The following is a 25026-nucleotide window of genomic DNA, read 5'->3' as shown; positions in this document are numbered from 1 at the left end:
GGAGACACTGCACTGGCACAAATTTTGAAGAGGAAAAAAAGGGGGTTGGGGGGGGGAGAGAGAGCGAGCGAGTGTGGCCTGCAAACTGCAACAATGCAATCTCCATTTTGAACAATGCGCCTCTTTCCTCTTGTAAATCTAGTTTTTTGCCACTTGATGTGCCGTCGCATTTCCCCTCTGTTTGGGGGGGAGGCGGGGTTGGGGGGAGATCGGAGCAGGATGCACAGCACACGAGTGAGCAAGGGGGGAGGGCAGAGGAGGTGGGGAAGGAGTCTGCAGCAACTGGGCTGGGTGGGTACCTGGAGTGCTGCTGTAGGTACTATGGCTCCTGAAGCTGCTTTCCGTGCAGTAACTGGCGTCGTCGTCGTCGTCTTCCATCTCCTCCGGATAATCGGAGTCATCGTCGTCCTCTTCCATCTCATCCTCCTCGTCGTCCTCAGAATCCTGGGTCTCCTCGGCGTCGCCGTCCTCCTCCTCCTCCTCCTCGGAGACCATGTCCTCCTCTTCCTCCTCCTCCTCGCTCTCGTGGTCATCGTACACCACTTTGTTGACGGCCCTCCGGGCCGCGGTGGTCCGGGCCAGGTGGCCGCCGCCGCCCCCGCCCCCCGTCCTGCCGCCCCCGCCTCCTCGCCCCCCCCGGCCCGGGGCGCTGGTGCTGGGGGGGGCCGGCGGCGGCGGCGGCGGCTTCCTCCGGCTACTGCTGCCCCCCCTGGGCGAGCTCAGCCGCGTCTTGGGCGCCACCTCAGCCTGGGCGGCGGCCCACCTGCCCCGGCTGCTGCCGCGGTGCCGCGAGCGGAGCCCCCCGATGGGTCCGGACGTGGGCGGCGGCGGCGGTGGCGGCGGGGCCGGGGCGCAGCGCTCCGCAGCGGGAGCCGCGGGCTGCTTGGGCGGCCTGCCCCGCCGGCCCCTCATGTCGGAGCCGAGGCGGGGGGAGAAGGAAAGCGAAGGGGGAGGGGCGGGCGCAGGGGGGGCGGTGGGGAGCGCCGGGGCCGGGTGGGGAGGCCCGCGGGGCCGGGCGGGAGGGGCCCGGCCGACGGAAGCGGGTGGAGGGAGAAGGCTCAATCCGAATTGCTGGGGCCCCACTCCGGATCGCCTTCAGCCGCCATCTTGTTTCTTCCCTCTCGCTCGGTGACTGGGGGAACCGACAGCGGCCGCAGGCCCAGAGCGCGGTCACGTGAGCTGCGCCGCCGACGAGCCTGGGACGGAGCGAAGCGGCGCGGCGGCCGCTAGGGGGAGCGCGGGAGCGTCGAGTCGGGGGCGGGGAGCCCTGGGCGCCTGGGCTCGGCACAGCGCGGTGCGGCTGGACTCCGGGCGCGGGTGGCGCGGCAAAACTCCGGGCGCAGGTGGCGCGGCTGAGAGGGGCGCGCAGCTCGCGAAATGCCCGGCGTCAAAGGCCTTCGGAGACCAAAGTCTCCGCGGACCGCTGGCTGGAGCCCAAAGCCGGCCGGACCTCCTCCCCGCGTCTCCCCTTTCGCGGCTCGGAGAGGAAGGCAAGGGAGCCCCCAAATATCATTCCCTTCCCTCCCCCTATGGAAACTGATGCTGAAAGAGCCAGCGAGAGAAAGAAAAAAAAAAGTCGCGGAGAGGGGCGGCCCAAGCGACCGAGGGCACCGGGCAGCGCCAGCGACAGAGGGAAATTAGTCGAGGGGACAGAGAGACAAGCCCCCTGAACTTAGGAAACTCTGAAGCATGGAGCTGGAGTCCAGAAAATGACTCCAATGACAACTGCTCCGGATCTGTGCCAGGAGCCACGCCCCGGGCTGCCACGCCCGGAGGGAGGGGCGCCCTAAGACCTGTAGCGTGGAATCCGCACTGGGAAAGCCTCAGTAAACTCCAGAACGCAACTACTGCACGTTCCAATGTCCCGCCACCTTCCCAGTGCCCCAGCTAGGACTTCGATCACCTCAGCAAGAACTTACCTCTCCTTTGCAGTGGAAAAGAGGGAATCCTGCCTAAAACCTACTTCACGGTGTTAAATGTTTGTATTATCGGGAAATAACCTTAATTTATTGACCTGACAAGTCACTAGGTTTCAGCTTAGCCCAAAGGACGAATCATGATGACATTTCAGGCACCCTCAAACCTTATCACAGCGACTCAACCCTGAGTGGTTGAGGTCAGCTCTTTAGATAAGAGAAAGGTGTTATAAACATATGAATATTTATTGAGAGAAGTGACAACCGAAAAGTAATTTAAAGAAAAATAGTTGGCCGGGCGTGGTAGCTCACACCTGCAATCCCAGTCCTTTGAGAGGCCAAGGCCGGATGATAGCTTGAGGTCAAGAGTTCAAGACCAGCCTGGGCAACATAGCAGGACCTCGTCTTTAGAAAAAATTTGAAAAATTAGCCGGGCATGGTGGTGTGCACCTGTGGTCCCAGCTAGCGAGAGGCTGAGGTGGGAGGATTGCTTGAGCCTGGGAGGTGGATGTTGCAGTGAGCCGTGATTGCACCACTGCACTCCAGCTTGGGTGACAGAGCAAGACCCTGTCTCAATTTTTTTTAAAAAAGATGCTGGGCGCGGTGGCTCACGCCTGTAATCCCAGCACTTTGGGAGGCTGAGGAGGGCGGATCACCAGGGCAGGAGTTTGAGACCAGCCTGGCCAATATGGTGAAACCCCATCTCTACTAAAAATGCAAAAGTTCTGTACTAAAAATACAAAAGTTAGCCAGGCGTGGTGGTGCGTGCCTGTAGTCCCAGCTACTCCAGAGGCTGAGGCAGAAGAATCGCTTGAGCCTGGGAGGTGGAGGTTGCAGTGAGCCGAGATCGCACCACTGCACTCCAGCCTGGCAACAAAGCAAGACTCCGTCTCAAAAAAATAAAAATAAAAATATCTAACAGAATTCTGCATACCAAATGGCTTATTTCAGTCTTGTTAGGAAAATGGAACACATATGTGAAATGAAAATTAAAATACAAGCACTAATTGCCAGAGAAATGCATTCAATACAATTTGGTCGAGCTCTAAGGGTGACAAATGTGTATATGTCTCCAGGGACCAGGTAAGTAATGTAAGTCAATAAAGTAGGCAAGATGAAGACCTAGGCCAATGGAGGTGCCCATATTTTGTTTGAAGAGGGTGGTCAGGCACGGTGGCTCAGGCCTGTAATCCCAGCACTTGAGGAGGCCAGGTGGGCGGATCACTTGAGCCCAGGAGTTCGAGATTATCCTGGGCAACATGGTGAAATCCTGTCTACTAAAAATACAAAAATTAGCTGGGCATGGTGGCTCATGCGTGTAATCCCAACTACTTGGGAAGCGGACAGGAGAATCGCTTAAACCCAGGAGGCAGAGGCTGCAGTGAGCCAAGATCGTGCCACTGGACTCCAGTCTGGGTGACACAGCAAGACTCTATCTCAAAAAAAAAAAAAAGGTAGTGAGGAACTGAGAATTTTATTTGGAGACACAAAAATTGAAACCTTAAATATGCATATCCCAGCGATCTTGGTTCACTGCAAACTCCTAAGCTCAAGCAATCCACCCGCCTCCCTCCCAAAGTGCTGGGATTACAAGCTACAGCCACTGTGCCCAGCCACCCTCTTTAAACAAAATACGGGGCCAGGGCCGGGCGTGGTGGCTCATGCCTGTAATCCCAGCACTTTGGGAGGCAAAGGCAGGCAGATCACTTGAGGGCGGAAGTTCGAGACCAGCCTGGTCAACATGGTGAAACCCTGTCTCTACTAAAAACTAGCCAGGTGTGATGGAGCACCGGTAGTCCCAGCTATTTGTAAGACTGAGGCAGGAGAATCGCTTAACCTGGGAGGTGGAGGTTGTAGTGAGTGCAGATCACACCACTGCACTCCAGCCTGGGCAACAGAGCGAAAGTCTGTCTAAAAAAAAAAAAGCGGGGGGCACTTCCATTGGCCAAGTCCTCATCTTCCCCTACTTTGTTGACTTTCATTACTTACCTGGTTCCTGGAGGCATATACAGATTTGTCACCCATAGTGCTCAACCAAATTATATTGAATACATTTATTTGGCAATTAGTGCTTGTATTTTTTCATTTCACATATGTGTTATATTTTCCTATCTAGATTGAAATAAGCCACCAGGCGCAGTGGCTCATGCCTGTAATCCCAGCACTTTGGAAGGATGAGGCGGGCGGATCACCTGAGGTCAGGGGTTCGAGATCAGCCTGACCAACATGGTACAACCCCATCTCTACTAAAAATACAAAAATTAGCTGGACGTGGTGGCACTTGCCTGTAATCCCAGCTACTCTGGAGGCTGAGACAGGAGAATCGCTTGAACCCAGGAGACGGAGGTTGCAGTGAGCCAAGATCGCACCACTGTACTCCAGCCTGGGCGACAAAGTGAGACTCTGTCTCAAAAAAAGAAAAAAGAAATAAGCCATTTGGTGGACAGAATCAGAATCCTGTTAGGTTTCCTTTCTTTTCTTTCTTTCTTTTTAAATTTTGAGACGGGGTTTTGCTCTGTCACCCAGGCTAGAGTGAAGTGATGCAATCGCAGCTCACTGCAACGTCCACCTCCCAGGCTCAAGCAATCCTCTCACCTCAGCCTCCCGGGCAGCTGGGACCACAGGCGCGCACCACCATGCCCAGCTAATTTTCAAATTTTTTCTAGAGACAAGGTCCCACTATGTTGCGCGGGCTGGTCTCGAACTCCTGGCCTCAAGCTATTCTCTGGCCTCGGTCTCTCAAAGGGCTGGGATTGAAGGTGTGAGCCACCATGCCCAGACAACTATTTTTCTTTAAATTACTTTTTGGTAGTCATTTATTTCAATAAATATTAATATATGTTTATATTGCACTCCAGCATGTGTGACAGAGCAGGACCCTGTCTCAGAACAAAACACTACAGATTGATAAAAATATAAGCAGTCTTGGCCCGGTGTGGTGGCTCACACCTGTAATCCCAACACTATGGGAGTCTAGGGTGGGTTGATCACCTGAGGTCAGGAGTTTGAGACCATTCTGGCCAACATGGTGAAACCCCGTCTCCACTAAAAGTACAAAAATTAGCTGGGCGTGGCGCTGTGCACCTGCAATCCCAGCTACTAGGGAGGCAGGAGAATTGCTTGAACCCAGGAGGTGGAGGTTGCAGTCAGCCGAGATCGTGCCACTGCACTCTAGCCTGGACGACACAGCAAGACTCCATCTCAAAAAAGAAAAAATAAATAAAAAATAGGCAGTTTGGATATAGCCCAGAGTCTACTAGTTTGCAATGTATATCCTACATAGTGTGTAAAATGCTATGTACTGCCAGGTGCGGTGGCTCATACCTGTAATCCCAGCACTTTGGAAGGCTGAGGTGAGAGGATCACTTGAGCCCAGTAGTTTGAGGCAACATAGTGAGATCCCCAGCTCTAAAATTAAATAAGTATGCTATGTATTATAGGGAATACAAAGATATTAGAAGTGGGAATACCCTTCAAAATTTATAATTGAATAGTAAAGCAAAATTATTTACAAAAAGTGTACAATAGATGGAATGAGAGGTGTTTTGCATAACTTTTTTTTTTTTTTTTCAAGAAATGGTCTCGCTCTGTCACCCAGGCTGGAGTGCAGTGGCGCGATCTTGGCTCACTGCAACCTCCACCTGCCGGGCTCAAGCCATCCACCCACCTCAGCCTCCTGAGTAACTGGGACTGCAGGTGGCTGCCACCTTGCCCAGCTAATTTTGTATTTTTTTTTAGTAGAGACAGGGTTTCGCCATGTTGGCCAGGCTGGTCTTCAACTCCTGACCACAAGTGATCTGCCCGCCTCAGCCTCCCAAAGTGCTAGGATTATAGGCACGAGCCACTGCGCCCAGCCTACGACATGTCTTCTTGGGGAAGGGAGCGCTACTGGACATTTTTTGGCTAAGTGGAACAAATACTCAGTTCCTGACAAGCTGCACAGGTATGTGGTCACCTGGCTTTCAATCTTTGCTGGGGCCCAGGAGCAAAGTAAGACCAGTTTCCAGAAAGAATATTTATTAGCCAAAGAGAGCAAGGCTTTGATCCAAAACCCTAAGCACAACCATAGGATGCTCCTTTGCAGGGTTTTCATGCGCCCTTCATACAGCACCCCAGTATGTGGTTGTCCAGAGAGTGCTGTTGGGTACATTGGGTCATGAGGACCAATTAGCAGAAGTCCTTGCACCACAGCCTGGACCTGCTGAAGAATCTTCTCTTGCTCTGCCTTGTGGCTCAATGTTAGCAAGGCCTCAGGTCACTCTGAAAATGGGTTAAGGCAGCACAAACAAACGTGGTATATATAGTCTTCTTCTTCTTCTTTTTTTTTTTTTTTTTGAGACGGAGTCTCACTCTGTCACGTAGGCTAGAGTGCAGTGGCGTAACCTTGGCTCACTGCAACCTCTGCCTTCTGGGTTCAAGTGATTCTCCTGCCTCAGCCTCCTAAGTAACTGGGATTCGAGGCACACAGCTAATTTTTGTATTTTTAGTAGAGACGGGGTTTTACCATGTTGGCCAGGCTGGTCTCAAACTCCTGACCTCAGGTGATCCACCTGCCTCAGCCTCCCAAAGAGCTGGGATTACAGGCATGAGCCACCATGCCCAGCCTTGTATATCTAGTCTTCTAAATCCAAAGAGAGCCACCAAGCATCCAGTACTGTCAAATGAAATCACCCCATCCATAGTCCTTGACTTCTTTTTTTTTTTTTTTGAGATTGACTTTTGCTCTTGTTGCCCAGGCCGGAGTGCAATGGCGCAATCTCAGCTCACCGCAACCTCCGCCTCCTGGGTTCAAGCGATTCTCCTGCCTCAGCCTCCAGAGAACTTCATTACATCTGTTATATGTCCCTTAGCTATGGCCAGTCTTCAAGACTTGCCTTGAAGTCCAGGTGGCATGGGTGATTTTGTTAAAATCTTTTGCCATTGATTGCAAACACTGTGCTCCAAACAATGTCAAATTGGCTGTCAGAGTCTCATTCTGTATTACTAGATACATATTTTCTACCATTGGCCGCAGAAGACTAGAGTGAGAGTTACAGACCACTCCCATTCCATTTCCCTGAGCATCTACGGCCTACCACCACTCTGGTACCAATTTCTTTATTGGTTTTTTTTTTTTTTTTTGAGACGGAGTCTTGCTCTATCACCCAGGCTGGAGTGCAGTGGCATGATCTTGGCTCACTGCAACCTCTACCTCCTGGGTTCAAGCGATTCTCCTGCGTCAGCCTCCCAAGCAGCTAGGACTACAGGTGTAAGTCACCACTCCCGGCTAATTTTTTTTGTATTTTTAGTAAAGACGGGGTATCACCATGTTAGCCAAGCTGGTCTCAAACTCCTGACCTTGTGATTCACCCACCTCAGCCTCCCAAAGTGTTGAGATTACAGGCGTGAGCCACCGCGCCCGGCAAATGTGAGCCTTTTATGGCACTTGTCTTTTTTTTTTTGAGATGGAGTCTGGCTCTGATGCCCAGGCTAGAGTGCAGTGGCATGATCTCGGCTCACTGTAACCTCTGCATCCCGGGTTCAAGTGATTCTCCTGCCTCAGCCTCCTGAGTAGCTGGGATTACAGGCACATGCCATCATGCCCGGCTAATTTTTGTATTTTTAATAGAGTTGGGGTTTCACCATGTTGGCCAGGCTGGTCTCAAACTCCTGACCTCAGGTGACCTGCCCACCTTGGCCTCCCAAAGTGCTGAGATTACAGACGTGAGCCACCATGCCTGGCCTATCGGTTGAGTTCTTGATGGCAAGCAACAGAACCATTGCCTACTTCAAGCTCACAGAATCTCTGATAGTGCCCAAGAATGAGGCTCTGAGACTTTGCAGCCAACAAGTGTCCAAAATCAGGCTATAGAATTGGACCAGTGAGGACAGCATGATGGCAGCTGCCTGGCAGAAAGCCCAGCTTGTCCTGGTAAAGCATCAATCCAGGGCCACTGCTTCACAGCTGTTCTGGCTTCCAGCTAAAAGGCTGCGCTGGGTGTGCCTGAGTGCAGGGTCTAGCAGCAGGAGGGACCATGATGGCAAGTGCCTGGCATCTTAGTTCCCATAGTGGGTTACAGGCTACATATAATGTGAAGGGTTCCTTAAACCTGGGAGGGAGTTCAGATTGGATGGAATATGACAGGCTAGGTGTGGTGGCTCACACCTGTAATCCCAGCACTTTGAGTGGCTGAGGTGGGAAGAACACTTGAGTCCAGGAGTTTGAGGCTGCAGTGAGCTATGATTGTGCCTCTACATTCCAGCAGTCTGGGCAACTAAGCAAGCCCTTGTCTCAAAAAAAAAAAAAAAAAAAACGAAAAACGAAAAACAAACAAAAAAAAACAGCCACGCAGAGAGAAACCAACCTGATATGATTTAAACTTAGATGAGTTGGGTAATGTGTCACACATCTGCAGTTAAGGCTCAGAAAGTCAGAGGACAGGAACTGATTTATGAAGGAAGTGATTAGCTCTGTGACGTCAGATGGGTCAATCAACCCTGACCGAGCCCCAGTTTGCTCACAAATCAGTTAAGGGGGCTGGGTTAGAACCAGACTTTCCAATACTTTCCACATATATAGCACCCAATGAAAATTAGCAGGGGATATGGAATGTGGTTTAAAACATTTCTTTAAAGAATACAATTGGAATAAAAACAAAATATATATGGAGAAGATATTAAATATTGCATTTGTAACACTTTCCCCAAAAAAGCCCTCTTTTTTTTAATGAGAAATTTGAACTTAAATCCGTATACCTAACTTTTTATTCTGTTTTGCACTCTAAATAGCTCATGTAAGGTAAGTCCTGATTGAGTCTCTTTAACTGATCTGTTTCTTTTTATCTTTCTTTCTTTCTTTTTTTTTTTTTTTAGAAATGGGATCTCATGGCCGAGCGCGGTGGTTCACACCTGCAGTCCTAGCACTTTGGGAGGCCAAGGTGGGCGGATCACAAGGTCAGGAGTTCAAGACCAGCCTGGCCAACATGGTGAAACCCCATCTCTACTGAAAAAAAAAAAATACAAAAATTAGCCAGGCGTGGTGGTAGCGCACTCCTGTAATCCCAGCTGCTGGGGAGGCTGAGGCAGGCGACTCGCTTGACCCCAGGAGGCGGAGGTTGCAGTGAGCCGAGATCACGCCATTGCACTCCAGCCTGGGTGACAGAGCGAGACTCCATCTCAAAAAAAAAAAAAAGAAATAGGAAATGGGATCTCACTCTGTCACCCAGGCTGGAGTGAGTGATGCAGTCACACCTCTCTGCAGCCTCAAACTCCTGGGCTTAATGCATCCTCTCACCTCACCTTCCCAAGTAGCAGGGATTGTAGGCTTGAGCCACCACCCCTGGTGCGTGATCTCCTTAAATGACAAGAAACCATTTGCAACTGTATGTGCTAAAATAATTTAAGCCATCTTTTATAACCAAACATTCACAACAGTGGAAATGATATTTAAGTTATATTTAAAGCTCTTTTGTTTCTTTCATTGACAAATGTCCTTAGAACTTAGAATATTCCGGCTGGGCGCAGTGGCTCACGCCTGTAATCCCAGCACTTTGGGAGGCCGAGGCGGGCGGATCACCTGAGGTCAAGAGTTCGAGACCAGCCTCAACATGGAGAAACCCCGTCTCTACTAAAAATACAAAATTAGCCGGGCGTGGTGGTGCATACCTGTAATTCCAGTTACTGTGGAGGCTGAGGCAGGAGAATTGCTTGAACCCGGGAGGCGGAGGTTGCAGTGAGCTGAGATCGTGCCATTGCACTCCAGCCTGGGCAACAAGAGCGAAACTCCGTCTCAAAAAAAAAAAAAAAAAAAAAAGAACTTAGAATATTCCTTCTGGATTTTAGATCTAATCAAACTTGCCATAGCGAGTATTTCAAAATCATGATGAGGTTCCAGTTGACAGAACACAAATGCATTATTAGGACAATCACTTCACAGCCTGGACATCATTTGTGGTATATTGGCCAAAATTATCCAATACAAACGTATGTGAAGACAGAGTTTCTAAGCTGCCTGCCCCAGAATTCCCAACCCCCATCTCTTAATTAATTAATTAATTAATTATTATTATTATTCTTAGAGATGAAGTCTGGCTCTGTTGCCCAGGCTGGAGTGCAGTGGCGTGATCTCAGCTCACTGCGACCTCCGCCTCCTGGGTTCAAGCGATTCTTCTGCCTCAGCCTCGTGAGTAGCTGGGACTACAGGCACAAGCCACCACGCCCGGCTAATTTTTGTATTTTTAGTAGAGACGAGGTTTCACCATGTTGGCCAGGCTGATCTCGAATTTCTGACCTCAAGTGATCCGCCTGCCTCAGCCTCCCAAAGTGCTGGGATTATAGGCATGAGCCACCGCACCCAGCCCTCATCTCTTTCTCTCCTCTCTCTCTCTCACACACGTACACACACACACACACACACACACACACACACACACACACTCTGACACCTTCCTGCACATTGGATCGTTCCTTATACTTCTTGGGCTCCTGAGATAAACTCTTCTAGCATCTTCGTGGGTCCCTTGTCTACGCAGGCAATAATGTGCTATGCAACTGAATGCCAATGGTGGGCTCCTGCCCACCATCAGACCCCACCCTCTTAAGCCCGTCAGGGGATGAGGTTGTCATGAACAAAGTGGATCAGAGGCTGCGTACACCCTGAGAGCTTGGAGGATGAATATCTATCCCCACCCACCTCTTATCCTATTCACTGTGTATCAGTCTATAGCTCTCCAATCAGGAAGGTCTAGATTAGATCATCTCTAAGGTTCCTTCCAATACTGATCTCTATGATTATGATCTGGCTATTGCTCCTATTTAAGTGCGCTGAATTTGGGTTATTGACAAGATAATGAGGTGGAAATGTCCAAGAGACAGTTTGAAATGTAGACTGGGCTGAACGAAGTGGCTCACACCTGTAATCCCAGTACTTTGGGAGGCCAAGACGGCAAGATCACTTGAGGTCAGGAGTTCTAGACCAGCCTGGGCAAAATGGTGAGACCCCCTCTCTACAAAAAGTATAAAAATGAGCCAGGTGTAGTGGCACGTGTCTGTAGTCCCAGCTACTCAGGAGGCTGAGGTGGGAGGATCACCTGAACCCAGGAGGCAGAAGTTGCAGTGAGCCAAAATCACACTGCTTGCACTCCAGCCTAGGTGACAGAGTAAGACCCTGTCTCAAAAAAAAAAAAAAAAAAAAAAAAGGAAAAAGAAAGAAAAAAATGTAGACTGAAGCTCTGGAAGGATTGAAGCTGGGGGTATAAATTGGGAACCAGTCTCATTGAGATGAAAATTGCAGCCAGCAGACTATTTATCTATTTATTTTGAGACAGAGTCTCACTCTGTCACACAGGCTGGAGTACAGTGGCGCAATCTTGGCTCATTGCAACCTCCGCCTCCCTGGTTCAAGCAATTCTCCCGCCTCAGCCTCCCCAGGGGGCTGAGATTACAGGCATGCGCCACCATGCCCAGCTAATTTTTGTATTTTTAGTAGAGATGGGGTTTCACCATGTTGGCCAGGCTGGTCTCAAACACCTGACCTCAAGGGATCCACCCCCTTTGGCCTCCCAAAGTACTAGGATTACAGGCATGAGCCATTGTGCCCAGCCTCAGACTAAACTATTATAAAAGAGAAAGCAGAGAGACTAAGAGCACCTCATATATACCCTGGGGAATCACCTACATTTCAGAGCTGGAAGGAGAGAAGGAGTGGTCTACTTGATGATATGAAGCATGATCAATCAGTATCACTACTAGCTTTAGGGTGAAGGCATAGCCAAATTGGAAACTGGACAAATTTCAGAAACTATGCACCAAAACTTACAAACCTCAAATCCTAGTTTTCTTCCTATCTCTTTGGCCACTCCCGTTAGTCCTCAGCTTCTTTTTTGTTTTTCTTTTTTTTAGACAGAGTCTTGCTCTGTTGCACAGGCAGGAGCACAATGGTGCAATCTCTCCTCACTGCAAGCTCCGCCTCCTGGGTTCACGCCATTCTCCTGCCTCAGCCTCTCAAGTAGCTGGGACTACAGGCACCCGCCACCATGCCCGGCTAATTTTTTTGTATTTTTTTAGTAGACATGGGGTTTCACTGTGTTAACCGGGATGGTCTCGATCTCCTGACCTCGTGATCCACCCGTCTCGGCCTCCCAAAGTGCTGTGATTACAGGCGTGAGCCACCACGCATGGCCCACACCCAGCTAATTTTTGTATTTTTAGTAGAGACGGGGGTTTCACCTTGTTGGCCAGGGTGGTCTTGAACTCCTGACCTCAGGTGATCCGCCTGCCTCAGCCTCCCAATGTGCTGGGATTACAGGTGTGAGCCTGTAATTTGTATTTATTTATTTACTTGAGACAAGGTCTTGCTCTGTCGCCCTGGCTGGAGTGCAGTGGCGTGATCATGGCTCACTGCAATCTCAACTTTCTGGGTTCAAGCAATCCCCCCACCTTAGCTTCCTGAGTAGCTGGAACTACAGGCTCTCACTACCACACCTGGCTACTTTTTTTATTTTTAATAGAGACAGGTTTTGCCATGTTGGCCAGGCTGGTCTCGAACTCCTGGCCTCAAGTGATCTGCCTGCCTCGGCCTCCCAAATGCTGGGATTACAGGTGTAAGCCACTAGGCCCGGCCTCAGTTTCTTTAATGGACTGACTTACCTCCGCAGATTGGCTCAAATGTCATTACCCTCAGGCTTCTCTCCTGTTTACAGGTCTCTTGGACCACCCAGTCCAGTCTCATGATACTTGCCACCCAATATGCTCATGTTTCCCAAACCAGCAACTCTTGTCTAGACCCACGCTCTAATTAGCTGTTTCTCAAGCAACGTTTTGACTGGTTTTGTTTTTGTTTTTGTTTTTTTGCTTCCCTGGTACCTGGGATAAAAGTCCCCTGAATTAAAACATGAATATTCACCTCACCCAGTCCTCTGGGAGGTTCACCAGTCCCTGTTTTGGGAAGAATGGAGCTGAGCTCTAGCTGAGAAAAAAAACTCCATTCGGTGATCTAAAAATTTTGCAGCTTGGAAGTGCAAAAAAAAAAAATTGCAGCTTTGCACAGTGAGTCAGGGTGACCAACTTCTCCTAGTTTGCCAAAGAGTTTCCCAGTTTTAGTACTAAAAGTCCCAAATCCCAGGAAACCTCTCAGTCCCAGGCAAACCGGGTGGTTTGGTCAACCCCACAGGGAGGTGTTCTTTATGAGGCGTGGCAAGGGTGAAGGCTTGGCAAAGGGTGGCTGTGCCCATCAAACACAGACAGTTTATGAATACTTGAGTGGGTGGGACATACACTTTTAACTATTCCCTAGGGCCCCCAGCGCCTTCGCAGAGGTCCAGAAGAGCAGGTGGGGGCAATGGGGCAGTGAAATTTGGGTAAAAGGCTAATGTGACCTCATTTAAAACCGCAGGCTGGAGAGGCCCAGGGACTTTGGGTATCTATTTGCATAGCCAAGATCACACCAGATTCACATTTTATCTAGTACTTTTTGTATCTGTGACTCTGCCAGACATTGTTACAGTTTAACAGCTACATAATACTCCATCAAGAGAATATTTAGACTGGGCGTGGTGGCTCACACCTGTAATCCTGGCCTTTTTGGGAGGCCGAGGCGGATAGATCACTTGAGATCAGGAGTTTGAGACAAGGCTGGCCAACATGACAAACCCCATCTCTACTAAAAATACAAAAATTAGCCACATGTGGTGGCTCATGCCTATAGTCCCAGCTACTCGGGAGGCTGTGGCACAAGAATTGCTTGAACCCATAAGGTGGAGGTTACAGTGAGTTGAGATTGCACTCCAGCCCGGGCGATAAAGTGAGACTCTGTCTCAAAAAAAAAAAAAGAAGAAGAAGAAGAGGATTTTCAGTTTGTTCCAGAAATGTTCCTATTATAAATACATCTTTGTGCTTAAAGTTTTTTCTTTTCCTATATTTAAGATTTTTTTTCAGGCTAGATGCAGTGGCTCATGCCTATAATCCCAGCATTTTGGGAGGCCAAGGCAGGAGGATTGCTTGAGGCCAGGAGTTCGAAACTAGTCTGGTCAACATAGGGAGACCCTGTCTCTAAAAACTATGTTTAAAAAAACTTAGCCACACATGGTGGCATGCCCCTGTAGTTCCAGCTACTTGGGAGGCTGAGGAGGGAAGATCACTTCAGCCCAACTGTTCAAGGTTGCAATGAATGAGCTATGATTGCATCACCGTACCCCAGCCTGGGTGACAGAGCAAAACCCTGTCTCTTAAAAAATAAAAATATACGGCCAGGCACAGTGGCTCACTCCTGTAATCCCAACACTTTGGGAGGCCGAGGCAGGCGGATCACCTGAGGTCAGGAGTTCAAGATCAGCCTGGGCAATATGGTGAAACCCCGTCTCTACTAAAAATACAAAATTAGCTGCACGTGCCTGTAATCCCAGCTACTCGGGAGGCTGAGGCAGGAGAATCGCTTGAACCTGGGAGGCAGAGGATGCGGTGAGCCGAGATCATGCCATTGCACTCCAGCCTAGGCAACAAGAGTAAATCTCCACCTCACCAAAAAATAAAAATAAAAAATAAAATAAATAAAAATATACATTTTTTTTCAGTACTAATTTGGAAGTACCATTATGTGCCAGAGACAGGGCTAAGCACTTTATGTGCATTATTTCCTTTAAATTTCACCATAGATAACCCTCTGGAGTAGGTAGTATTTTCCCCGGGTAGACACTAGTGCTCAGAGGATATGTAATTTTCCCAATGCCACACAGCTACTGCATGATGAAGCCAAGATTTGAAATCAACACCACCACTTACTTTCAAAATATGTTGATGGTGAATTTTGGTTTGTTTACGGCTGTGTCATCTTTTGCCTGGCTTTGCTCTACTGAGCCACCACTGAGTCTTGTATATGTCTCTCTTTATTTTTGGTTATGTGCACTGCCCCAGTGACCACTCGTGTCTCTCTTTAGCACCTCTCCCACTGTGTTGAAGTTGCTTGTTTACACTTCCGCTCCACCTACAAGTGGAGGGTAGAACTGCATTTATTCATCTTTTTCCAACACATCTAGCAAGATATAGTAGAGACTCAAGAGAAATTTGTTGTTGAACATATAAAAGGAGAACTCCAGGCCAGGCGCAGTGGCTCACGCCTCTAATCCCAGCACTTTGGGAGGCCGAGGCAGGTGGATCACCTGAGGTCAGGAGTTCGTGACCAGCCTGGCCAACGTGGCGAAACCCTGTCTCTATTAAAAATACAAAAATTAGCCAGGCATGGTGGCATGCACCTGTAATCCCAGCTACTCAGGAGGCTGAAGCAGGAGAATCGCTTGAACCCAGGAGGCAGAGGTTGCAGTGAGCTGAGATCATGCCACTGCACTCCAGCCTGGGTGACAGAGTGAGGCTCCATCTCAAATAAATAAATAAATAAATAGGCCGGGCACGGTGGCTCATGCCTGTAATCCCAGCACTTTGGGAGACCGAGGTAGGCGAATCACGAGGTCAGGAGTTTGAGAACAGCCTGGCCAATATGGTGAAACCCCGTCTCTAATAAAAATACAAAAATTAGCCAGGCATGGTGGCGGGCGCCTGTAGTCCCAGCTACTCGGGAGGCTGAGGCAGGAGAATCGCTTGAACCAGGGAGGTGGAGTCTGCAATGAGCCAAGATCACACCACTGCACTCCAGCCTGGGCGACAGAGCGAGACTCCATCTCAAAAAAAAGAAAAAAAAATACAAAAAATTAGCTGGGCGTAGTGGGGTGCCTGTAATCCCAGCTACTGGGGAGACTGAGATAGGAGAATCGCTTAAACCCAGGAGGCGGAGGTTGCAGTGAGCCAAGATCTCGCCATTGCACTCTAGCCCAGGTGACAGAGCGAGACTCCGTCTCAAAAAAAAAAATAACTAAAATAAAAATAAATAAACAAAAGGAGAACTCCAGTGGTTGAGAGTGAAGGGAAGGATTATTTCAGAATTGAGGAGACTGGAACTGCTGGATGAGTGAGGGTTGACAGTCTTATAGGTATTCAAAGAAGGTGGCATTACCAGAAGTCAGGCAGGAACTGAGTCAGGTAGGCAAGGCGTTCTGGACTTTGAGAATGGAGGAAGCAATTTTGGGCAGTAGGAATTTTCATGGAATGCCTTCCCTTACTCACTCAACAAATATTTATTGAGTGCCTACTGTATGCTGGTAGGTGTACAATGAATGCTACTTTGGATGAGGTCAAGGGGGAAGGCTTCTGTAAGGAGGTGACATTTGAGCTCAAACTTGAGTATATAAGAAGTGGTCAATGTGAAGAACTGGAGAAGAACATTCTGAACAGAGTGAATTCAGCTTGCTTGGGAAACAATGGGAAGACAAAATGTTTGGGGGCCAGCTCTGTGATCCTGGGCAGGTCTCTTTTGAGACAGAGTCTTGCTTGCTCACCCAGGCTGAAGTGCAGTGGTGCAATCTCGGCTCACTGCAACCTCCACCTCCCAGGTTCAAGCGATTCTCCTCCCTCAGGCTATGGAATAGCTGAGATTACAGGTGTACACCACCACACCAGGCTAATTTTTGTATTTTTAGTAGAGATGAGGTTTCACCATGTTGGCCAGGCTGGTCTTGAACTCCTGACCTCAAGTGATCTACCTGCCTCAGCCTCCCAAAGTGCTGGGATTACAGGCAAGAGCCACCACATCCAGCCTGGGCAGGTTTCTTGACCTTGGTCTTCTCATCTGTAAAATGGAATGTACCCACCCACCTCATAGAGTTTAATAAAATGAGCATTAAATGAAATAATGAATATAAAGAGCTTAGCGTGGTGCCTGAAACCTAGTAAACAATAAAGGTTAGTGGTAGTAAAAATTATGAATTTATTCTTTACTATTTTATTAATAGAACACTTAGGAATGTATGGATAGTCACATGGTATAGTTCAATGTAAATACTCTGGAATCAGATCTGGATTTAGTCCCAGGGATACTGCATACTGTTATAATTTGCATATGTAGATATATATACATATACATATATATGTATTTTTTTTTAACCTCTCTGAGTCTTAGTTTTTTCAGCTATTAAATGAAGGTAAATATAGAACTTATTAAAGGTTGGGCGCGGTGGCTCACGCCTGTAATCCCAGCACTTTTGGGAGGCCGAGGCGGGCGGATCATGAGGTAGGAGATCGAGACCATGCTGGCTAACACAGTGAAACCCGGTCTCTGCTAAAAATACAAAAAAATTAGCCGGGCGTGGTGGCAGGCGCCTGTAGTCCCAGCTACTTGGGAGGCTGAGGCAGGAGAATGGCGTGAACCCGGGAGGCAGAGTTTGCAGTGAGCCGAAATCGCGCCACTGCACTCCAGCCTGGGAGACAGAGCAAGACTCTGTCTCAAAAAAAAAAAAAAAAGACCTTATTGCATAGGATTATTTTAAGGATTCGATGAAATAATACACGTAATATATTTAACTTGGGGACCTGATAACATGGGAAACTCTCAAAATTTTTATCTTTTAATTGTCATTTAAGCTTGCAGGGATTTTATTTATTTTGTTTATTTTTTATAATCTATTTATTGTAGAGATGAGGGTCTCACTATATTGCCCAGGCTGATCTTGAACCCCTGGACTCAAGTGATCCTCCTGCCTCAGCCTCACAAAGTGCTGGGCCTGCAGGTGTGAGCCACCGCACCTGGCTAAGAGATTTTATTTTTATTAATTGATTGATTGAGATGGAGTCTCGCTCTGTCACCCAGGCTGGAGTACAATGGCAAGATCTCAGCCCACTGCAACCTCCGCCACTCAGTTCAAACGATTCTCCTGCCTCAGCCTCCAGAGTAGCTGGGATTACACGTGTGCACCACCACACCCAGCTAATTTTTGTATTTTTAATAGAGATGTGGTTTCACCATGTTGGCCAGGCTGGTCTCAAACTCCTGACCTCAAGTGATTCACCTGCCTTGGCCTCCCAAAGTGCTGGGATTACAGGCGTGAGCCACCATGCCTGGCCTGGCTAAGAGATTTTAAATCCTCTCATCCTCCTAGAAAGAATACCATCAGTTCATGTCAACCCAGAGCCCATCTCTGACTTACTCTTTAACATTTTGTTAGTTATGTGAATAATTCTCCTGTTTGTACCAATATAACCTTAGATGTGTTTTTTGGTTGTTGTTTTTGAGACTGAGTCTCCCTCTGTTGCCCAGGCTGGAGTGCAGTGGCATGATCTTGGCTCACTGCAACCTCCGCCTCCCGGGTTCAAGCGATTCTCCTGCCTCAGCCTCCCAAGTAGCTGGGATTACAGGCACCTGCCACCACACCCAGCTAATTTTTGTATTTTTAGTAGAGATGAGGTTTCACCATGTTGGCCAGGCTGGTCTCCAACTTCTGACCTCAAGTGATCTGCCTGCCTCAGCCTCCCAAAGTGCTGGGATTACAAGCATGAGCCACCACGCCCTGCCCTTAGATGTTTGTGCTTTGCATATACACATATGTGTATAGATACACATATATGTATTTTTTTTAGATAGAGTCTCCTCTCAGGCTGGAGTGCAGTGGCGTGATTCCGACTCATGGCAACCTCCACCTCCCGGGTCAAGTGATTCCCCTGCTTCAGCCTCCTGAATAGCTGGGATTACAGGCGCCTGCCACCATACCCGGCTAAGTTTTGTATTTTCAGTAGAGATGGGGTTTCACCATTTTGGCCAGGCTGGTCTCGAACTCCTAAACTCAGATGATCCACCCACCTCGGCCCCTCAAAATGCTGGGATTACAGGTGTGAGCCACCACACCTGGCCAAAGTATATTCTTTTGATTTTAAAAATTAAAATATTATAAAATTAAAACCCAAACCACAATGAGATGCCACTTCACATTCACTAGCATGACTGTAATTGTTTTAAAAAAATAAAAATAAAAAGTGTTGGAGAGGATTTGGGGAAATTGGAACCATTATATATTGTTAGCGAGAATGTGAAACCATGTAGCACTGTGGAAAATGCTTTGGCAGTTACTCAAAAAGTTAAACTTAGAGCTACCATATGACCCACTAATTCTATTGATACATATATAGTCAAAAGAATTGCAAACAAATGGTCATGCAAAAACATACATACATATGTATACAGCAGCATTATTCTCAATGACCAAAGGGTGGAAACAGCCTACATGTGCATTAACTGATGAATGGATAACCCAAATGTGATTGATCCATGTAACAGATATATTATTCAGCCTTGAAAGGAAGGAAATTCTGACGCATATTACAACATGGAGAACCCTTGAGGGCATTATGCTAAGCGAAATAAGCCAGTCACCAAAGGACAAATACTGTGTGATTCCACTTATATGAGGTACCTAGAGTGGTCAAATTCATAAAGACAGAAAGTAGGCCGGGCATGGTGGCTCACACCTGTAATCCCAGCACTTTGGGAGGCCGAGGCAGGCGTATCACGGCATCAGGAGTTCAAGACCAACCTGGCCAACATAGTGAAACCCTGTCTCTACTAAAGATACAAAAAAATTAGCTGGGTGTGGTGGCAGGCGCCTGTAATCCCAGCTACTCAGGAGGCTGAGGCAGGAGAATCACTTGAATCCGGGAGGCGGAGCTTGCAGTGAGCTGAGATCCCGACATTGCACTCCAGCCTGGGTGACAGAGCGAGACTCTGTCTCAAAAAAAAAAAGGACAGAAAGTAGAAGGGTGGTTACCATGGGCCGGGAGAAGGAGAGAATGGGGAGTTAGTGTTTAATAGGTACAGAGGTTCAATTTGGGAAGATGAAAAAGTTCTGGAGATTGGTTGTACAACAATGTGAATATACTTAACACTACTCAAATATACACTTAAAAATGGTTAGAGACAACCAGGTGTGGTAGCTCACGCCTGTAATCCCAGCACTTTGGGAGGCCGAGGTGGGTGGATCACAAGAGTCCAGGAGTTCAAGACCAGCCTGGGCAACAGTGAAACCCCATCTCTACAAACAATGCAAAAATTAGCCAGGTGTGGTGGTGTGTTCCTGCGGTCCCAGTTACTTGTGAGACGGAGGTAGGAGGATCATCTGAGCCCGGGGAGTTTGAGGCTGCAGTGAGACGTGATCATACCACTGCACTCCAGCCTGGAAGACAGAGTGGGAGACCCTGTCTCAAAAAAAAGGGGGGTGGTGGTTAGAGTGTAAATTTTATGTTATGCATACTTTACCACAATTTTAAAAATTATTTGAAAGAAGCCACACACAAAAGTCTTATTTAGTGAAATCACATATTGTATGATTTCATTTATTTAAAATGTCCCGAAGGGGCAAATTCATAGGAAGTAAATAAATACTTGCCAGGAAATGGGAGAGGAAATGGGGAGTAGGGCCAGTGATTTGGGGGCTTCTTTCTGGGTTGATGAAAATGTTCTGTTTTTGTTTGTTTGTTTGTTTATTTGTTGGGACAGAGTCTCGCTCTGTCACCTAGGCTGGAGTACAGTGGTGCAATCTCGGCTCACTGCAACCTCCGCCTCCCTGGTTCAAGCAATTCTCCTGCCTCAGCCTCCCAAGTAGCTGGGATTATAGGCATGCACCACCACACCCGGCTAATTTTTATATTTTTTTTAGTAGAGACGGGGTTTCACCATGTTGGCCAGACTGGTCTCAAACTCCTGGCCTCAGGTGATTCTCCCACCTCAGCCTTCCAAAGTGCTGGGATTACAGGTGTGAGCTACCGAGCCCAGCCAGATGTTCTGGAATCAAATAGTGGTGATGGTTGTATAACCTTGTGAATACTATATTAAAACCCACTAAATTGTGTACTTATTTAAAAGGGTGAATTTATGGTAGATAAATTAATTATATCTCAATAAAAATTAATAAAAAGAAGTGGTATGAGGAATTGGGAAAACATTACATATATATGCCTTAAGTCTTCTTTAATAAGTTCCCTTTGTCCTTTCCGGAACAAAGTTATACCCAACTGATACTATATTATCATAAGGTGTCCAGTCCAGATCTATCTGTATATCTTTATCTCTCTCTACATATATATCTGTGTCTGTATCTATATCTCTCCAGAAAAATATGCAAAATGGCTTGGTGATTTTTCTTTTTGATTTAACACTTAACATTTTTTTGGCTGGGCGTGGTGGCTTGCACCTGTAATCCCAGCACTTTGGGAGGCCGAGGTGGGTGGATACTTGAACCCAGGAATTCAAGACCAGCCTGGGCAACATATTGAGACCCCTTTTCTACAAAAAATACAAAAATTAGCCAGGCATGGTGGCACGTGCCTGTAGTTCCAGCTACTTAAGAAACTGAGGCAGGAGGATTGCTTGAGCCCGGGAGGCAGAGATTGCAGTGAACCAAGATTGCACCACTGCACTCCAGCCTGGGTGACAGAGCCAAACTTTGTTTCAAAAAAAAAAAAAAAAAATCTAGCCTTGCAGTGGCTCGTGCCTGTAATTCCAACACTTTGGGAGGCTAAGGCAGGAGGATGCCTTGAGCCCAGAGTTTGAGGCTGCAGTGAGCTATGATTATGCCATTGCACTCCAGCTTGGGAGACAGAAAGGGACTTTGTCACAAAACTAAATTAATTAAATAAATTTCTTTTCTTTTTTTTTTTTTTGACAGGGTCTCACTCTGTCACCGTGTCACCCAGGTTGGAGTGCAATGGCTCAATCTCAGCTCACTGTAACCTCCACCTCCCAGGCTCAAGTGATAACTCCTACCTCAGCCTATGAAGTAGCTAGGGACTGCAGGTGCCCACGACCACGCCTGGCTAATGTGTTTTGTTTGTATAGTTTTTGTAGAGATGGGGGTTTTGTCATGTTGCCCAGACTGGTCTGGAACTCCTGGGCTCAAGCGATCCATCCACCTCAGCCTCCCAAAGTGCTGGGATTACAGGTGTGAGCCATCGCACCTGCCCAATTTTTTTCCTTTTACTGTGTCTGTGGTTCCACAACTTCCTTTTTTCCCGTTCTCTATGGACTTTCTACCTAATTTGGACTCTGCTTAGATTGACCTAGTTTTCTTTTTAATCAAATCTTCAGGAACCAATTTATTACCATTAAAAATGATCTAACAAGCTTTATTTTTATCATTGTTTAAAATCCTCATTTTGAGTAACATAACCACAAAGTAAAGAATGTTATCATTGATTTAACCAGTAAAAGACAATACTTAACAATAAAATTTTAAAAACATACGCCAGCCGGCTTACCTGGTGAAAAAAATAATTGCGGCTGCGAGCTGCATTTGCCAGACAATGGTTTTAGATTTGCTGTGCACGCTGAACGCCATGAAAAATGGACTGCCTGGCCTCTTCATAAGGAAATCAATTACTTGCCTCATTCTGAGTGAAAAGAATGAAAGGATTTTAAAAATCATAATAACCAAAATGGGGAGAATAAAACAAACTGGGAAGAGGCATATCATACATTTCAAGCTAGTGTTGCTTTGTTTGAAAGTAAAGTCTTTATGCCTTCAAATATTTAAGGTGATTTTTATTCCTTCATTCTTGACTCCTCTGAAGCTCCTGGGAACACCCCCCCAAAAGCAGCTGCCAGCCTTTACTTCCTTTTTTTTTTTTTTTTTTTTTTGAGATGGAGTCTCCCTCTGTTTCCCAGGCTGGAGTGCAGTGGCGTTATCTTGGCTCCCTGCAAGCTCCGCCTCCCGGGTTCACACCATTCTCCGCCTCAGCCTCCCGAGTAGCTGGGATTACAGGCCGCTGCCACCACGCCCAGCTAATTTTTGTATTTTTAGTAGAGACGGGGTTTCACCGTGTTAGCCAGGATGGTCTTGATCTCCTGACCTCGTGATCCGCCCGCCTCCGCCTCCCAAAGTGCTGGGATTACAGGTGTGAGCCACCACGCAGCTGCCAGCCTTTAACCATGCCCCATGTCATTTTTTTCCCAGCTTGTCAGGACAGTCACTCAAACAGAGTCTCCTCTGATCCTCCCCAGCGCAGGCATCCCATTCAAGAATTTGCAGCCCGGCTCGCCTGGCAGTGGAAAACAAATTTTGTTTCCAGGGGGAAGTTACACATAATCTTTTTTTCTGAACTGGGCTTCCATCATACTTGAGTTACTTCTTTTGGCTCTGGGTGCTCCCTGAGCAGGCCTGGCTAGTAGGAAGTAAAGCAAGCACTGGTTTTTCAAAGCCCCATTTAGTCTTCCTAATGGGTCATTCTCACTGAGCACTATAGGGGCAAAAATATGTTGATTTCCTGATTGACTAAAGCTACCTTGAGTCATTTCAGCCATTTCATTATCTTCTCACCCTCACAAATACCACTTTCTCAGCCAGGAAGCTATAAAGCTGATGATGTCTTAGGAGATTTAGAATTTGATTAAACATTTATTTGCATTGCTCAAAACTGAATTTATAGTAGCTTGATCATAATATGAATGACCTTTTTTTTGTTGTTAGAGGAAGGGAAGACAGTAAATAAAACATACGTTTACATTTGCCAGCTGATGTTGAAGGCATATAGGATTTTCTTTTTCCTAAAAAAAAAGAGGCTGGGGAAAAGCTTCTTTTTCTTTTTCTTTTTTTTTTCTTTTTTTTTTCTGAGACACAGAGTCTTGATCTGTTGCCCAGGCTGGAATGCAGTGGCATGGTCTCAGCTCACTGCAACCTCTGCCTCCCGAGTAGCTGGGATTACAGTTGCCCACCACCATGCAGGGCTATTTTTGTATTTTTAGTAGAGGTGGGGTTTTACCATGTTGGCCAGGCTGGTCTCAAACTCCTGACCTCAAGTGATCTGCCTGCCTTGGCCTCCAAAGTGCTAGGGTGAGCTACCTTGCCTGGCCTTTTTTTTTTTTTTTTTTGAAACAGGGTCTCACTCTGCTCTGTTGCCTAGGCTGGAGTGCAGTGGCATGATCTCAGCTCACAGTAGCCTTGACCTCCTGGGCTCAAGTGATCCTCCCACTTCAGCCTCCAGGTAGCTGGGACTACAGGCACTTGCCACCATGCTAAGCATTTTTTTTTTTTTTTTGGATAGAGACGGGGTCTCACTATGTGCCCTGGCTGGTCTGGAACTCCTGGGCTCAAGCGATCCTCCTGCCTCAACCCCTCAAAGTGCTGGGATTATAGGCGTAAGCAAATGCACCCAGCCTGGGGTAAAGCTTCTTTTGCCTTGGCTGGGATCTATGGATTGTGTGGTGGTTAACTTTAGGTGTCAACTTGAATGGATTAAAGAATATCTAGAAACCTGGTAAAGCATTATTTATCCAATCTCCTAGGGTCCCGGAGAGAACAAAAACAGAGAGGTAACTATGTCAAGCTATCTGCTGGAGCTGGGACACATTCTTCCTCTCCTGTCCTTGGACAACAACTCCAGGCTCCCCAGCCTTCAAACTCCAGGACTTCTCCCCTCTCCTCCACCCTTCCTGGCTTCTCAGGCCTTTGGCCTTGAACTGAGAGCTACACCATCAGATTCCCTGATTCTGAGGCCTTCGGGACTTGAATTGAGCCATACTACCAGCCTCCCAGGGTCTCCAGTCTGCAGACGACCTGTTTTGGGACTTCTTGCCAATTTCCCTAATAAATAAACTCCATTTCGTCTTTCTCTCTTTCTCTCCTGTTGAATCTGTCTCCCTGGAGAACCCTGACTAATACAGATTGAGGCTGGAAGGAATGGATCTTCTTTGCCTTGTCCTGGGAAAACACACATCCACGTACATACAGTAGATTGCCCTTACAAACAGGTATGGCCAGGCTGGACCAAATTCTATAGGCTCTGACCTCAGCCAGGGCTACTGTAGTCTTATAGCAGTCACTCCCCAGGACTGCGCCTTGCTTTGCTGATTGTCTGACTCCTTCGTGTTCAGAAAAGCAGACCCAGATCACAGAGGCAAGGAACAGAAGGCAGTCTTGCAGACATGCCTCAACCCGTTTACATAGATTGAATCCCTTGGCCAGATCAGTGGCCCAGAAATGAATGAATGGAATCTCTCAGACCACCTGCAGCTACCTGACTTACCTGACCCCTCCGCTAGGAGGTGCTCAACATAACTATGGGGTGAAACTGGCCAGGCTGCGGGACATGGGGTGATGAAAGTATGACCAGCCCTTCAATCTAGCCTGCTTGCAGTCTTTTTTTTTTTTTTTTTTTGAGACAGAGTTTTGCTCTTGTCACCCAGGCTAGATTGCAATGGCGCGATCTCGGCTCACAGCAACCTCTGTCTCCCGGGTTCAAGCGATTCTTCCATCTCAGGCCCGCCCTG

At 47.6% G+C, this 25026-nt stretch overlaps 1 protein-coding gene across 47 annotated transcripts in view, besides 6 other annotated features; it reads right to left on the bottom strand.

Moving 5' to 3' along the window:
• BPTF (bromodomain PHD finger transcription factor) overlaps nt 1–1134 on the bottom strand; it is a 158876-nt gene extending 157742 nt beyond the window's left edge. For all 47 annotated transcript variants that reach the window (XM_005257150.4, XM_005257154.4, XM_005257159.3 and 44 more), the window contains exon 1: nt 300–1134. In XM_005257150.4, the coding sequence (XP_005257207.1) occupies nt 300–912 (613 nt within the window). In that variant the 5' untranslated portion in view covers nt 913–1134. The remainder of the gene's footprint in view (nt 1–299) is intronic.
• Nucleotides 261–530: an enhancer, noted in NCBI's record as "active region_12632". NCBI's record gives its function as "activates an Ori minimal core promoter by ATAC-STARR-seq in GM12878 lymphoblastoid cells {active_cell/tissue: GM12878}" and the evidence as "EXISTENCE:reporter gene assay evidence [ECO:0000049][PMID:35858748]".
• Nucleotides 493–1188: an enhancer, noted in NCBI's record as "H3K27ac hESC enhancer chr17:65821565-65822260 (GRCh37/hg19 assembly coordinates)". NCBI's record gives its function as "activates a minimal SCP1, AML or CMV promoter by ChIP-STARR-seq in primed H9 embryonic stem cells {active_cell/tissue: H9 hESC(primed)}" and the evidence as "EXISTENCE:reporter gene assay evidence [ECO:0000049][PMID:30033119]".
• Nucleotides 581–780: a silencer, noted in NCBI's record as "silent region_8879". NCBI's record gives its function as "represses an Ori minimal core promoter by ATAC-STARR-seq in GM12878 lymphoblastoid cells {active_cell/tissue: GM12878}" and the evidence as "EXISTENCE:reporter gene assay evidence [ECO:0000049][PMID:35858748]".
• Nucleotides 961–1010: a silencer, noted in NCBI's record as "silent region_8878". NCBI's record gives its function as "represses an Ori minimal core promoter by ATAC-STARR-seq in GM12878 lymphoblastoid cells {active_cell/tissue: GM12878}" and the evidence as "EXISTENCE:reporter gene assay evidence [ECO:0000049][PMID:35858748]".
• Nucleotides 1189–1886: an enhancer, noted in NCBI's record as "H3K27ac hESC enhancer chr17:65820867-65821564 (GRCh37/hg19 assembly coordinates)". NCBI's record gives its function as "activates a minimal SCP1, AML or CMV promoter by ChIP-STARR-seq in naive H9 embryonic stem cells {active_cell/tissue: H9 hESC(naive)}" and the evidence as "EXISTENCE:reporter gene assay evidence [ECO:0000049][PMID:30033119]".
• Nucleotides 1211–1280: a silencer, noted in NCBI's record as "silent region_8877". NCBI's record gives its function as "represses an Ori minimal core promoter by ATAC-STARR-seq in GM12878 lymphoblastoid cells {active_cell/tissue: GM12878}" and the evidence as "EXISTENCE:reporter gene assay evidence [ECO:0000049][PMID:35858748]".

Source organism: Homo sapiens, chromosome 17 (genome assembly GCF_000001405.40).
Source record: "Homo sapiens chromosome 17, GRCh38.p14 Primary Assembly".
NCBI lineage: Eukaryota > Metazoa > Chordata > Mammalia > Primates > Hominidae > Homo > Homo sapiens.
The sequence above is the reverse complement of the archived record's forward strand: the minus strand, read 5'-3'. Positions and strand labels throughout refer to the sequence as shown.